The following is a 14,398-nucleotide window of genomic DNA, read 5'->3' as shown; positions in this document are numbered from 1 at the left end:
TGTAGGATCAGGTAGTTCAGCCTAATTTTGATGGACTATAGTTTGTATATTTGCAGTTTCCCTTTAACTTGTTCTTAAAGGATGTCATAGGGCCATCCTGGCATACAAATAGCTGCTGAGAGATAATTGGGTGGCTGATGAAGGACCCACATTTCTGTGTAGCATGAGAGAGATGACTTGAGCCCCATTTTTTTTTTCTTTAGGGTAAGAATCACCAGATAATCTCCTTGTCTACAGAATTATGTAGGCACCCAGATACATAGCTTGTTTTAGGCAAAAGGCAAGCCAAAATACCTTGCTTTAGTCTTTAAAAGGACACTTATGGCCACTGGAACTACATAAAATGCCTGGCTTGTAATCTTGGGCAACAGCTGCACCTCTGAGCCTGTTTCCTGGTCTGTAAAATCAGCATAGGGAGTACTGATAAAAATATGCAAGGGTGTGCATATTACATTTACAAACACTTGTAACAACTGCCTCCTAAATTAGAAACTACTCTGCAAACAAGAAATGTCCTCATTATTGAATAAAAGTACATTCTGATAGGCCTGCAGTTGAGTGAACAGTAAAAACATCCCCTAAATTCACCTGTTAAATGGGGATAATTTAGGACTCTGTCTAAGAGGTAAGCAAATGCCAAAACAGGCTCTTTCTGCTTAATCTAATTGACACTGAGGTGATCCTTGTGATAGTAACTAGCCACCAGGTTTAACTTCTTCCAGAGTTTGCTCCTTGTCAGATGCAATAAAGGAATACAACTTGCATGCAAGCGTATGCCCATTTTCCTGCTTGCTAGAAGGAGAATGTGCATGCAGCTTGGTCCTCATAAGCTCCAACATTTAGATCAAATGGAATACAGAGATTTAGTTGGTGTAAGGCCAGAAATACATTTATGGGTACTAGGATGTTTGTAGCAGCACTATCTGGAACATTGGAAACTACACTAATACACCAAAATAATTAAAGGGATACTTAAAGTCCACTGAACAGGATGTTTGTAGAAGGAGCTACATGTTTAGGCAGCCCATGGTCTCGTGTCCAGCTCAGAAGGAAATAGGTAATGTCCAAATCATGAAGGTTAGAAAGTCAGTGAAACCAGAGTAGTAAGCAGCGTTGGGGATCTTTGACTGTTGAGCATAAACAATTTACTCCATGCCTAATTTGGGGCCTGTATCTTTCTAAGGAAGTTCTCTGAAATACTTCAGAATTCATATTCATGTGCAGGAGCTGCTGGGCTCTGAATTAGACACAGTCTTTAATATAATACATTTATATGATATATTTAAAATAGTCAAACTCATAGAATCAAAGAGCAGCGTGCTGGTTTCCAGGGAAATGGCAGTCACCAACTGATAGACACAAAGTTTCAGTTAAGCAAGATGCACAAGCTCTAGAGATCTGCTTCACAACATGGTAACTCCTAATGTTAACACTAACCTATCGTGCAGTTAAAAATTTGTTAAGATCATAGATCTCACATCAAGTGTTTTATTATAAAATTTAAAAATGATGCTACATGTATCAAGTATTGAACTTGAAGGGTGTTAGCTTGTCCCATCCCTTTCTACTTTTTAACACAACTGTAGCTTGCTTGTATTCATAGTATCAATCCTATTTTTTCACTTGTTAAGTATTGTGATGTTTATTCAGATTCAGAGATTTTCTCTGTTGATGCTTTGTACATGGTCATATCCATCCAACACTGAATTTGTAGTCACCCTATGTGAAACACTTTACAAGAATGAGAATAAACGACCTACAACTGAAAGCAAAAGTATGGATGAGTCTTACACATATACGTTGAGCTAAAGAATTAAGGCACAAAAGAACACATACAGAATGATTCCATTACATAAATATAATGTACGAAAACAGAAAAAAATACAGAAAAGTACAAAAACAGAAAAAATAACCCATTGATGGACATTGCAATAGTGGTCACCATCAGAAAAATAGTGACTAGAAGGGATCATAACACAGGTTTTTTCGGGTGCTGTTCATGTTCTCTTTCTTGATTTCAGTGCACAGATATATTCAGTTCATAAGAATCTATCAAGCTATGCATTTATGAGATTTCCATTTTTCTATATACATTATATTTACATAAAAGGTTTTAAAAAATGCATAAGGAGCAAGGGATATAAGACAATCAAGCTCATCAGCAACTCAGCCCCAAACTAGTCACAGCACCTTGGGCAAGTCATTTTACCAGGCTGAATGTTGGATGCCTCATCTGTAAAAAGACACTAATGATCCTGGCCTCATGGAGTCACTGGGACTATTAAATTGAAAGGATCAACTACATGTAAAGTACTTAGCACAGGGTCTGGTACACAGCAGGCACCCAGTGCCTGGCTGCTGTTATGATTATGATCCTTCCATTGTCCAGGCTGACACCATTTCAGACTGGATGATCTGATGTTGACTATAGTCTCAGGTCCATCAAAAGACACACACTCCCTGCGTGCAGAGGGGGGCACCCAGACTGTGCAATGAAAGCAGAGAAGAGATGAGGAGTAGCATAAGACTAGAAAATAAAGCTGGAAACGCTCATTGAGGAAGAGACCATTGAGGTTCAAAAATCCCAGAAGTTGGATTTTATTTTGTAGATGGAAGTTACTGAAGACTTTATATTTTAACAGAGAAGACACATGGAGCTGAAACTCAGCCAGATCAGTTTCTAGAAAGTTAAAAGAGATTAAAACAGAAGATTTGGAGATAAACTTTACCTTATAGAAAGTGTGTCAGGTCTGCAGAAGTCAGAATATGATGATGTTCTTGTTATTATTATCAATACTGTAAGCAATAACAACCACTGCAGTCACTATTATTTTAGTGTGCACCTGCTGGATACCAGATATTTAAAGGTACTATCTCATCTAATCCTTACTCAAAGCACAAGGGGGAATAGCTGACATTTACCAGGTTCTTACTAAGAGCTAGGTACTCTTCTAAGCATTTTATGCGTATTAACACATTTAGTCACTATGACAGCCCAGTGAGATAGGCACTATCATTATCTCCAGTTTATAAATGAGGATACTGCAGCAAAGAGAGATTCTAAGGCCATACTGCTATCGAGAAAAAGAGCTGGGATTCAAATTCTGGCAGCTCAACTCTAGCGCCCATCCTTATGCCTATTATGTTATGTTGACATCCTAGGTGTTATTAATCTTATATTCTTATGAACTAACAGAGACAACAGTCAAATTACTTGCTCAAAGTCACAAAGAGGGTGATATAGTTTGGATATTTTCCCCACCCACATCTCATGTTGAAATATAATCCCCAGTGTTGGAGGTGGGGCCTGGTGAGAGGCGATTGGATTATGGGGGTGGATTTCTCATGAATGGTTTAGCACTGTATTAGTCAGGGTTCTCTAGAGGGACAGAACTAATAGAATAGATGTATATATGAAGGGGAGTTGATTCAGGAGTATTAAATTCACATGATCACAAGGTCCCGCAATGGGCCATCTGCAAGCTCAGGAGCAAGGAAGCCAGTCTGAGACCCAAAGCTGAAGAACTTGGAGTCCAATGTTTGAGGGCAGGAAGCATCCAGCACAGGAGAAAGATGTAGGCTGGGAGGCTAAACCAGTCTAGTCTTTTCACGTTCTGCCTGCTTTTTATTCTGTCCATGCTGGCAGCTGATTAGATGGTGCCCACCCAGATTAAGGGTGGGTCTGCCTTTCCCAGCCATCTTACTCAAATGTTAATCTCTTGGCAACATTCTCACAGACACACCCAGGATCAATCAATACTTTGCACCTTTCAATCCAATCAAGTTGACACTTAGTATTAACCATCACAAGCACCATCCCCTTGATGCTGTACTCAAGATAGTGATTGAGTTCCTGTGAGATCTGGTTGTTTAAAAGTGCATGGCACCTACCTCACTCTCTCTTGCTCCTGCTTTCATCATGTGACATGCTTGCTTCCTCTTTGCCTTCCACCACAAAAGGAAGATGCTGAGGCCTCCCCAGAAACAGATGTTGCTATGCTTTCTGTACAGCCTGCAGAACCATGAGCCTAATAAACCTCTTTTCTTATAAATGAAACACTTCAGGTGTTTCTTTACAGCAGTGCACGAGTGACCTAATACAGACGGAGAGACCCTAGTTTGCTTGATGAAAATGCTTATGATCTTCATCACTATCCTATCTGCTAAGGCGATAATTTCTAATCATGGCTGGGAACAAATGAAACCTCAGTCAAATGTTTTAGGAATGAAAAAAATAGCAATAACAATAATGCTTATTTATTGAGCACTTATGTGCCAGGAAATGTACATGTTATACATGTTTATAGGTATTACGCATGTTTGTATGTGTTAACTAACCCTTACAGAAATCCTATGAAGAAGTTGCATTTTTTAAACCCTATTTCACAAATAAGGAAACTGAGTTTCAGAGAAGTTACAAAAGTAATGAGTAAGAGATCCAAAATATATCTTATGCAGCCCAACACACATACAAAAATGGTCTCATTACTCCACTAAACTGCCTCCCAACAACAAGAGTGCTGGTTCCAGAATCCTGATTCCCTCCTCTCTCCAACCCCATCCCCGGTGAATTCTGTACTTACTGGTGTCCTGGGGCAGTTTTGAAAGCATTCCAAGTCTTAACCACTACAAGAAATTCTCAGCTAACCTTTCCAGCGTAAGCTGCAGCAGCAAATTCCTTCCCAGGTTAGTAGAAAGCCTCAGGGCACAGAAGAGCAGGTGCTTGCCTGACCCAAGTGTCACCTGCATCTGATATATCTCATTAGCCTAGGGGAGAAACGCAGTCTGGCCTGCTCTTTCTCCTAGATGCAGTCTGGTGCACCAGAAGGAAGAGCCAAAAGCCTGCTTGTGAGGGAGCCAGAGTGGCTTCTCTCCTGAGAGCATGGGAAGGGCATGGCTCCCCCTATGCGCACAGTCTTATGAGTGCATGGACTCTGTTCTGATGTAAGGCAGCCGCTATCCCAGCAATGTGGCTGTGGCCAGCCCTGGGCTTAGAGGAGCAGCTTCTTCCATAGCAGCAGGTGAGAGGAGTCAAAGGCTCCCCTTCCATGAATGTCTTCACTTTCAGCCCTGTCTTGGGGTCTGGAATCCTCCCCTACATACTAAAGTGTTTCAGTAAAGCTCCTTGTATCAGTCAGGGTTCAAGTACAGAAGTAGCGAAAGCAGACTAAAGCAGAGTCAGTAGGACACACATGCTCACACAGACACATGCACACATGCACACACGTATCTCTCTCTCTCTCTCTATTGGAAAACCAGCAGACTGGAAATTCTTGTATAGAAACTACAGTTCATTGTTGGGATTTCTTCTGTCTCTGAAAAACAGTCTTGCTCTTAAGGTTCTCAACTAATCGCATGAGGCTCAGGTTATGGAGAATACTCTCCTTTGAAATCAATTGATTGCACATGTTAACTACGTCTACTAAATACCTTCATAGAAGCACTTACATTAATGTTTAATTTTGCAACTTGATAATATAGCCTAGCCAAGTGAGCACTTGGCACATAAAACATCACACTCTTCATAGTATAATGGAAAGGCTACGAGAATAATGGTTCTGGCTCGAACTTTCTGTTATCTTGGTGTCTTAGTCTGTTTCTATGGCTATAACAATACACCTTAGATTGGGCAATTTAAAAACAACATAAATATATTGCTCACAGTTCAGAGACTGAGAAGTCCAAGATCAGGGTATCCATAGATTCAGTGTCTGGTGAGAGTCTGTTCTTCATAGACGGCACCTTTTCACTGAATCCTGACAAGAGAACAAGGGAGTTTGCTCAATCCTATTTTATAAGGGCACTAAGCCCATTCATGAAGGGAGAGTCATCATGACTTAATCTTTTCCCAAAGGTCCCACCTCTTAACTCTATCACACCAGATATTAGGTTCCAACATATGAATTTGGGGGAGACACTGACATTCAGACCATAGCACTTGGGGATGTTCTTTCTTCTTTCTGAAACTCAATGTAAACTTCTGTAGAATAGGTGGAGTAAAGAAAGTAAAAAATGAGAAAAACTTGTCTTTAGATATTTTGAAGTGTGTGTCTTTAGATATTTTAAAGTGTGTTGTCTTCAGATATTTTAAAGTGTGTGTCCTGGAAGGACTACTTAGGCTTGTTCTACGGAATTTCTGAGGGCAGAATCAGGACCATTGTATGGAAGAAGAAATGCAAGCTGGGCATGGTGGCTCACACCTGTAATCCCAGCACTTTGGGAGGCCGAGGTGGGTGGATTGCTTGAGGTCAGGAGTTTGAGACCAGCCTGGCCAACACGGTGGAACCCTGTCTCTATCAAAAAATACAAAAATTAGCCAGGTGTGGTGGCAGGGGCCTGTAATCCCAGCTACTCAGGAGGGTGAGAGAGGAGAATCTCTTGAACCTGGGAAGTGGAGGTTGCAGTGAGCCGAGATCTTGCCACTGCACTCCAGCCTAGGCAACAGAATGAGACTCCGTCTCAAAAAAAAAAAAAAAAAAAGGAAATTTAGGGTTGATTAAGGAAGTTTGTCTCACAATGAGATTCCATCATGAGAGGGCATGCTTTATTATATACTGACCTCTTTGCCTCAGAAGAAGTTCAAACAGCAATTGAAAACAAATTTATTTGGGGGAGAACAATGTAGAAGGAATTACATTTTAAACTAGATAAACTAAAAAATGCCATTTGTATCATTATTCTTCACCACTGGAAAGTTTGTCTTCTTTTCTTCCTCTGGAACCTCCCTTCACCCAAAGTTTGTCAACTTACTGTGCTGTGGGCAACATAAAATGTAAACAAAGCCTGAGAGGAATATTACTAATTAGCGCCTATCAGATGCATTTACCAGGTTTATTCATGAGATTAAATGTCCATACCAAGGTAATCTCTTAAATCAATTTAGATCCTCTCACTCAGCCGACACTGAAAGATGAAGCACAGTAATATGTTTTTATCTGGTGTGTCAAGTAAAGCATACACCAGTAACTGCTGTATGCACAATATTGCTTTGCATAGAGATCCAATATGACCTAGGAAAGTCCCGGGCCTTGGGCTGCATGGTTACAGAGTGAAATACATGGAAACCTTTAGTAGATGTATTACAAGAAGATTACAGGACCGTGGCATAGGGAGAGGTTAATTATGATGAGGACAAGAAAATACGTTTTTGTAGATGGGAAATTTGAGCAGAGGCTGAGATGGAAAAGACTTGAACAGACGGATGTTCTGGATAAAGGAATTATAGATGAAGAGTACAAGTTGGTAGAGTCAGGGTCTCAGAAATGTTGTTAAGCCAGACCTAGAGACGGTGAAAGAGAAAGATATTACAAAGGCCATTGGAATAATGATTACATGGTTTTTAGAAAATTGGAAAAGATCATGGGGACCAAAAAAAGGGGGAAGTTGAAGGAGAAAATAGTGACAATTTCAATTTTTAGGAAATTACCAAGGGACAGGCTTTTTATTAGGTTTTTTCCTTGCTAGCTTTACAAACCTCCTATTTGAAGATGTCACAGGGAGTTGCCATGTGCCTGAAAGACCACTGGCCTGGTGGAGAGTGTGTTGACCTCACTACGTGGCCTTGGCTATCTCTCAAAGCCTTCGTTTCCCAGTCTTCAAGATGTGTATAACATTCCCTGCCCTGAGGGCTGGCATGGATGCTGCTTTGCAAGCTGTAAATGGCTATGCAAACACTCACATACTCAGGGATGGATCATGTTGGTCTTGGGGGAGTTTATAGCAGCTTTAAACCAAATCGATAATCAGCTATATGTTGCCATCAAGACAGAGGCACCAGAGTTGACATAGAGCCTGGTGACAGAGGTGTCCACCTTGTGGCCATCAAAACCATGTGCTGGTTGTCTGTGGAGTATGGCAGCTGCTCAGATTGTTCAGTGTGAAATTAAATTTGGGCTCCTGGGTGAGCAGGGAGGAGGGCGTGAAAGATATGACACTGGTTAATTTCATGTTTTACAGGCCCAACAACCCCAAAAGTACATTTCTCAGTGAAAACCGAGAACCTGCAGGCCACTACACGCAATGATATGCAGTCCAGGGGCAAAATGAAGATAGAGAGAGAGAAAAAAAAAACAAAACATAAAGAATATATCATTTCCCGAAATCAAATAAACTCAAAAACCTTCCATTTCAATGGGTTAGATTGACAGGCAGAGAGAGAAAGGCAAAAGAGGGTTTCTTTTAACTCTTGCCAATACTTTTACACATAACTGCAAACACTTCTATGCTTGGCATTCAAAGGTCCTAGCCTCTGCCCCAGTCCATATTTCCATGGTCAGATCTGGTTTTATCTTGCTCTTGCTCAAAATCTTTCCATGCCACCCTGTATACAGTATAAAACCTAAACTCTTAAGTGTAGGAAAAATGCTCCCTATTACATTGCTTACCCCATCTCCAGCATCATGTCCTTCAGCTTTCACTCTCACCCAACCCCTTCTCGACCAGCAACATTCATTAGTGGGTTTCCAAATCTATGGGCTCCTCCACCTGTCTCTGCATTTGTATGTGAAATTCCTTCTCCCTAGAATTCCCTTTACTTTGGATCTTCCCTGGGTTTCAGCGAAATGCAGGCAGTATCGATAACAGCTAAGAGGGAAAATTTTGGTATCAAGTAGACCTGATCCTGGCTTCTCGATACACTGCATACTGACTTTCCACATCCTGCCTACAATCCTTGACAAATTACTTAACTCCTCTGTGAGTTTCCAGTTGGCTTCTCTTTATGAAGGAGAGAATGTCCTCTACCTTTTCTGGTTATTATGGGGACTCAGTCAGTTAATACATGTAAAGTATGGAGCACAATGCCTGGCACAAAAATGTACTTGGTGAATGACTTATTTTATTATTAATTTAACTCATGTTTTACTATGACAACTCCCTTAATCATCACATGCAAACTTAGGTATGTTTTCCATGAATGATCCAATTTCACCTAGAATATGACTAATTTCTGCCATCATTATGTCGTACTGTATGTAATAGTCATTTGTGTGTTCCTCTCCCCACCATCAGGCTGTGTGAATGGGTGCATAGATCAAGTTTGGTTATCTCTATATGCCCAGTGCTTAGCCAAAAGCCCAACACAAAATTCATACTTGATCTATGGGTGAATTAATAAATGACAAAATGAATGATTAATCACATGCATGGATCACCCTTGAAGGCCTAGATCAAGTGCCAGCTGTCCTGGGAAGTCTTAGCTGATCCTATCTGTAGAACAAAACATCCTGTCTTCTGTGTCATGGCTTTTTTCCAAAATCCTTACCATATCGTGATCCCATTGTGAGCTCCACACCGGAGGCTCTATGTCTTATTAATCTCTATGAAGCCATTAGCAGAGGACCTGGAACTCAGGTTAAAATTCAGCATAGGTTATTTTTCTTCTCTGTTGTCATTCTTTTTCTTCTCCTCACTATCACTATTCCCAGGGTGTCCAATATTTGGGATATCATTAGGGTCAGGATGGACTAATGGCATGCCAGATGCAGGGGCAATCATGTAGCTAGATTTAGTGCCCAAATGACATATACACTTGCAGAGTGTGGCAGGAGTCCCTGGAAGATTGTCCACTGGCTGCCATAGACAATCAATATTCAGGAGAAGCTGTAAAAGAAATAAGAAAACTAAGAAGACCTTTACTTATGAGCAAGAAGGTCTGTGTCAGCTCATGAGCAATATCTTGGGACTTGTTGGTTCTTCTGAGGAAGCTATCAATTGACTGAGAGTTTTGAAACAAAGGAAAGTTTTGAAACCACTCCAGATAAACAAATCAGGAGTTAAAAATAACTATTGGATTTGTGCATGTATATTTGGAACTATTGGTAGAGTGTGTTTGTACATGAGACAAAATATGGATAATACAAATTTAGTGTGCATTTATTATCTGTCAGGCACTGGGGTAAACACTTTACTATGTATTAACCCCCTCAATACACACCACAACCCTATAAGTTAGGTATTATTATTACCACTTTAAAAATGAGACTCAGGTACAGTGAATAACCTGTTCAAGGTCACGTGGCTAGTAAGTAATAGACCTGGATTTGTGTCTGGGCAGTTGACTCCAGAATTGATATTCTCATGAATATATAGGCGTTCTGGGGGTATTAAAAATAACCGAGAACACACTGGGCCTTTCAGAGGGTGTAGGGTGGGTGGAAGGAGAGGATGAGGAAAAGTAATGAGTACTAGGCTTAATACCTGGGTGATGAAATAATCTGTACAACAAACCCCCATGACGCAAGTTTACCTATTAAACAAGCCTGCACTTGTACCCCTGAATTTAAAAGTTAAAAAAAAAAAGACGACAAACTGAACTTCAAAGAAAATAAAAGAAATAACTGAGAGACATGTGACGTGGAATGCTTTATAAAAACATACTCAACAGGCATTTATTGAGCACCCACTACTTGTCATGCCCTGTGCTAGGTTAATTGGGGGATAACAAGATAAATAGGACATAGCCCTCCTTTCAAGGAGCTTGCCAGCTGGTGAAAGAAAGGATAGACCAAGGCTGGGCGCAGTGGCTCATTTCTGTAATCCCAGCACTTTAGGAGGCCAAGGTGGGCCCATCACTTGAGGTCAGGAATTCGAGACCAGCCTAGCCAACATGGTGAAACTCCATCTCTACTAAATATACAAAAATTAGCCAGGCATGGTGGTGCATGCCTGTAATCCCACCTACTCAGGAGGCTGAGGAATGGGAATCACTTGAACTTGGGAGGTGGAGGTTGCAGTGAGCCAAGAGCGTGTCACTGTACTCCAGTGTGGGGGACAGGAGGAAACTCTGTCCCTGCCCGCCCCCAAAATAAAATGTGGAGGGTAGACCTAAATAGATATTAAGGAATTTAGTTCAGTTTAATAAACTCATTTTTACCATTGATTCTGTTCCAGGCCCTTGGTAAGCAAAAATGGATAAGACATGATCTAGACTTTCAAGATACTCAGATAGTATCAGGCCATACTAAGTTTTATAACAAACATACCAAATGCCGCATGATCATTTAACACTAAATTCCTCACAATATAAACCCAAAGCCCCTATGTTGATCCCATTGCATATTACCACAGCCTCTAGTGACTTTATCTTTTAGAAGAAAGGTCCTTCCAAATGGGAATTCTGGTCGTCAGTGTCTACTCCAACGGTTGGGACTATTCCAGGCTCCAACTCACTGAACTTGCCTTATCTGATGTGGTTAACCAGGCTGCCATGGAACACACTGGTTATTGTATCTGCTATGCCCAATCTCTCCTTCTAAACCAAACTGCCCCACGAACAGTGCCCTTCTGTTTGTAGGTAGATGTACTTGCTAATTGGACTATGCAAAGTCACTTGATATAAGAAGAATCAGTTCATTGGCTGGTAGTGAAGCATGAAATAGCTTGTCCTGGTAGGGTGACCTGAATCCATCAGATTTCTCTTTTGGGAATTGAAACCCGAAGGACAGAAAGAATTTGGTTCATTGGAAGCAAACAGAGAAACAGACTAACTAAACAGGTTAATAGAAGAGTGCTTGAGTGCTCCTCAGAAGGCTGACATGTCCTCATCACCATATTTTCTGCCGTCTCTGAGCTGGGATAGTCAACAGTCCCCGGGCCCCCATTGTGGATTCCAGAAGAAGGTCCCCAGGCTTGCATAAGCCCCAGTGGCTCCCTCTCCCTGGAAATCATAACTGATGGATGGGCTTATACCCCTTTCCGTACTAGTGTGTGAGGACAAATCAAAGGAGGCAAATGTCAACAGACTCCTGATAAGCTTTGTTGATCACTTGTCGATGAACACCAGCCCCCAGTGCAACACACACTTCATACCTTCTCTTGCTGCCCCAACCCTCACCTGCCATGCCATGCTTTCTGTTGAGTGGGGCCTAATGATTTCAGCAAGGGACTGACCTGGCATGATTTACTTTGGAGGTTCATGCTTATAAAGACAGTCAAGGCACTTTTCAGAGGGATGTGTAGCAGCAGAACACAAAAGTATCTCTTGAACATCTACTGTGGGCTATGGATACAGAGGAAAAAGGCTGCCCTGGGAGACCTCCTAGAGTTATGAGAGAAACAGCCTTATAAATGGACAGTTCGAATCTGGGATGCAAGGGGCTTGGGTGGAGGAAGCACCAGGTACTGGGCAGGCAGTGAGAGTCTACTCACTTGGCCTGGGGAGGAAGGATAGTGTGTATGTGTGCATGTCTCAGGGTTGGTCAAGGAAAGCGCTGCAGGATGTGATAGATGAGCTAAATTTTTGAAGAGAAGAAGGGGTTTTCAAAGAAAAGGAAGGAAAGGAAAGGGGGCCAGGGCATTCCTAGAGATGAAAACAGCATATACAAAGACTGGAAGTTGCAAGAGAGCATGGTTGCTCTGAGAGCAGCCAAGATGGGGCTGCAGTAATGAGGCTGCAAAGATGGCAGAAGAGAGCCTTAAGGGAAACTTATTTTCCTGAACACTATGGAAGGAGGGCCGATTTTAAGCAGGGAAGCTGCTGGCCAGTCTGGTGATGTCATGGAGCCTGGATTGGGGTGGGGATCCTGGTAAAGCTCTGTGAAACGGCTGCAAGTTTACAAAGAGGGGACGGACTTGATGGCAGATGGCACATGCACACTTCTTCCCAGGGAGGGAGAGGCATGTGACCTCGTGTGACCTTGAGTTCAGCCAGTCCTTGGTTAAAATCCCCACCATGCCCATGGCCTGACTGTGTGGCTATGGACAGGGTTTGTCACGTCTCAGAGCTTCCACTGCATCACCTGTAAGTCAAAGAAGCAGCCTTGGGAATATCAATTGCGAAAGGCCTTGATGTATTTATGCTGTCTCTTATTTATTGGTTAATTGTAAGCAGGTGAAGTTGGGTAACTGAGTGCATGTGTGTAGATGGTGGGGGGTTGTACAGTTCTATGGGTGAGCCTGAGAAATGGCTGGAGCCCCAGGTGTATCTCAAAGGTAAGTGGAAATGCTCTCTACTGTAAAACTGAAACCACCTGCTCTCTCAAAAAGATCTCATAGACCAGCTGGGGCTGACTCCATTCTGCCTTAAGTTCCCCTCATTAAGTAGGGGCCTCAGGTGTAAGCAGGGCCTGTAGGCTTCATTGGCATTTCTGTTCCTACAGTCGCAACATTCTTTCAGAGACCCAGAGTCTCCTTAGAACCGCCATGACTTGCGGCATTCCACCATCCAATGCCCACATCCCCTGACCCACTTTCTGCTGGCTTATTCTGGTGGCAGGGAGCTCAGGTCCCACCCTAAGAGCTTGTCTCATCTCTCCCCCTTCCCTGCTCCTATTCACCCCATCCACGCAGGGCTCCCCTAGTGTTTTGTCTGGTTTTGTTTTGAATGACATGCTCCTTCCTTCCTCCGTCAGGGCCTTTCTTCACTTACTGCTCCCTCTTTCTGAAACATTTGTTCTCGTTCACTTCACCCAGCTGAGTCATACTCATCTTTGATGCCCCATTTATTTATCCCATCCTCCCAGGGGCCTTTCCTAACCCCTCACCCCTGATGGTCTGACCAGTTTATCCTAGTTATACACTCTGATAGCTCCCTGCACACCTCTCTCACCACACAAAGTTGCTTATATACTATATTTTGTGATTGTTTTTGTTTAATATCTATCTTTCCCCGTAGACCAGTGATTGTCAACATATGGTGTAATTTTGCTCCCAAGGGACATTTGGCAATATCTGGAGACATTTTTGTAGTCACAACTGAGAGATGCTTTTCCTAGGTAGAGACCAAGGATATTGCTAAATACCCTATGATACACAGAACAGTCCCCTCAACAAACAATTATTTGGTCCAAAATTCAATAGTGCTACTGTTGAAAAACGCTGTCATAGACTGAAAGCTTTATATGGGCAGAGATCTTGGCTATCTTGTTCATAGCCTCATGTCCTGCAATGGGCCACTAGCACCTTAACTGATTTATGGGTGATGTTTGATAAGAATCTGGTCATAGTCTTGTGCATAAATCCATGCTTATGCACCCCTCCCTTCCAATGACCACTTTTTTCACATACAGGACCTCCCACCCTAGAACTGTGATTCACACATAAAGGTATGCCATATATGCACACATCTCCTACCACCTAATATGTAATTCACCTCTTCCTCATCAAATAAGTCTCCTTAGTAGTTACCACCCATGCCCATTTGCATCCAACACCCTCCCATGTGTGTTTTTATGTGTATGTGCACCCGCATAGATGTCTGGCATACTCACCTGTACCTGCACCTCTTCTTATCACACACATCAACTGGGCAGCAGAGGCTTTCTGTTTTATCGCACATAAAACAGGCTGAACCCAACAGGCACACACACACACAAATGCACACACATGCTAGTACAGAAGGTGATGTGGGGAGGCAGGGGCAGTGCACTTTACCTCCCTGTGGCCCATCCTAGCCATAGGA

This window comes from Homo sapiens, chromosome 9 (genome assembly GCF_000001405.40).
Source record: "Homo sapiens chromosome 9, GRCh38.p14 Primary Assembly".
NCBI lineage: Eukaryota > Metazoa > Chordata > Mammalia > Primates > Hominidae > Homo > Homo sapiens.
The sequence above is the reverse complement of the archived record's forward strand: the minus strand, read 5'-3'. Positions refer to the sequence as shown.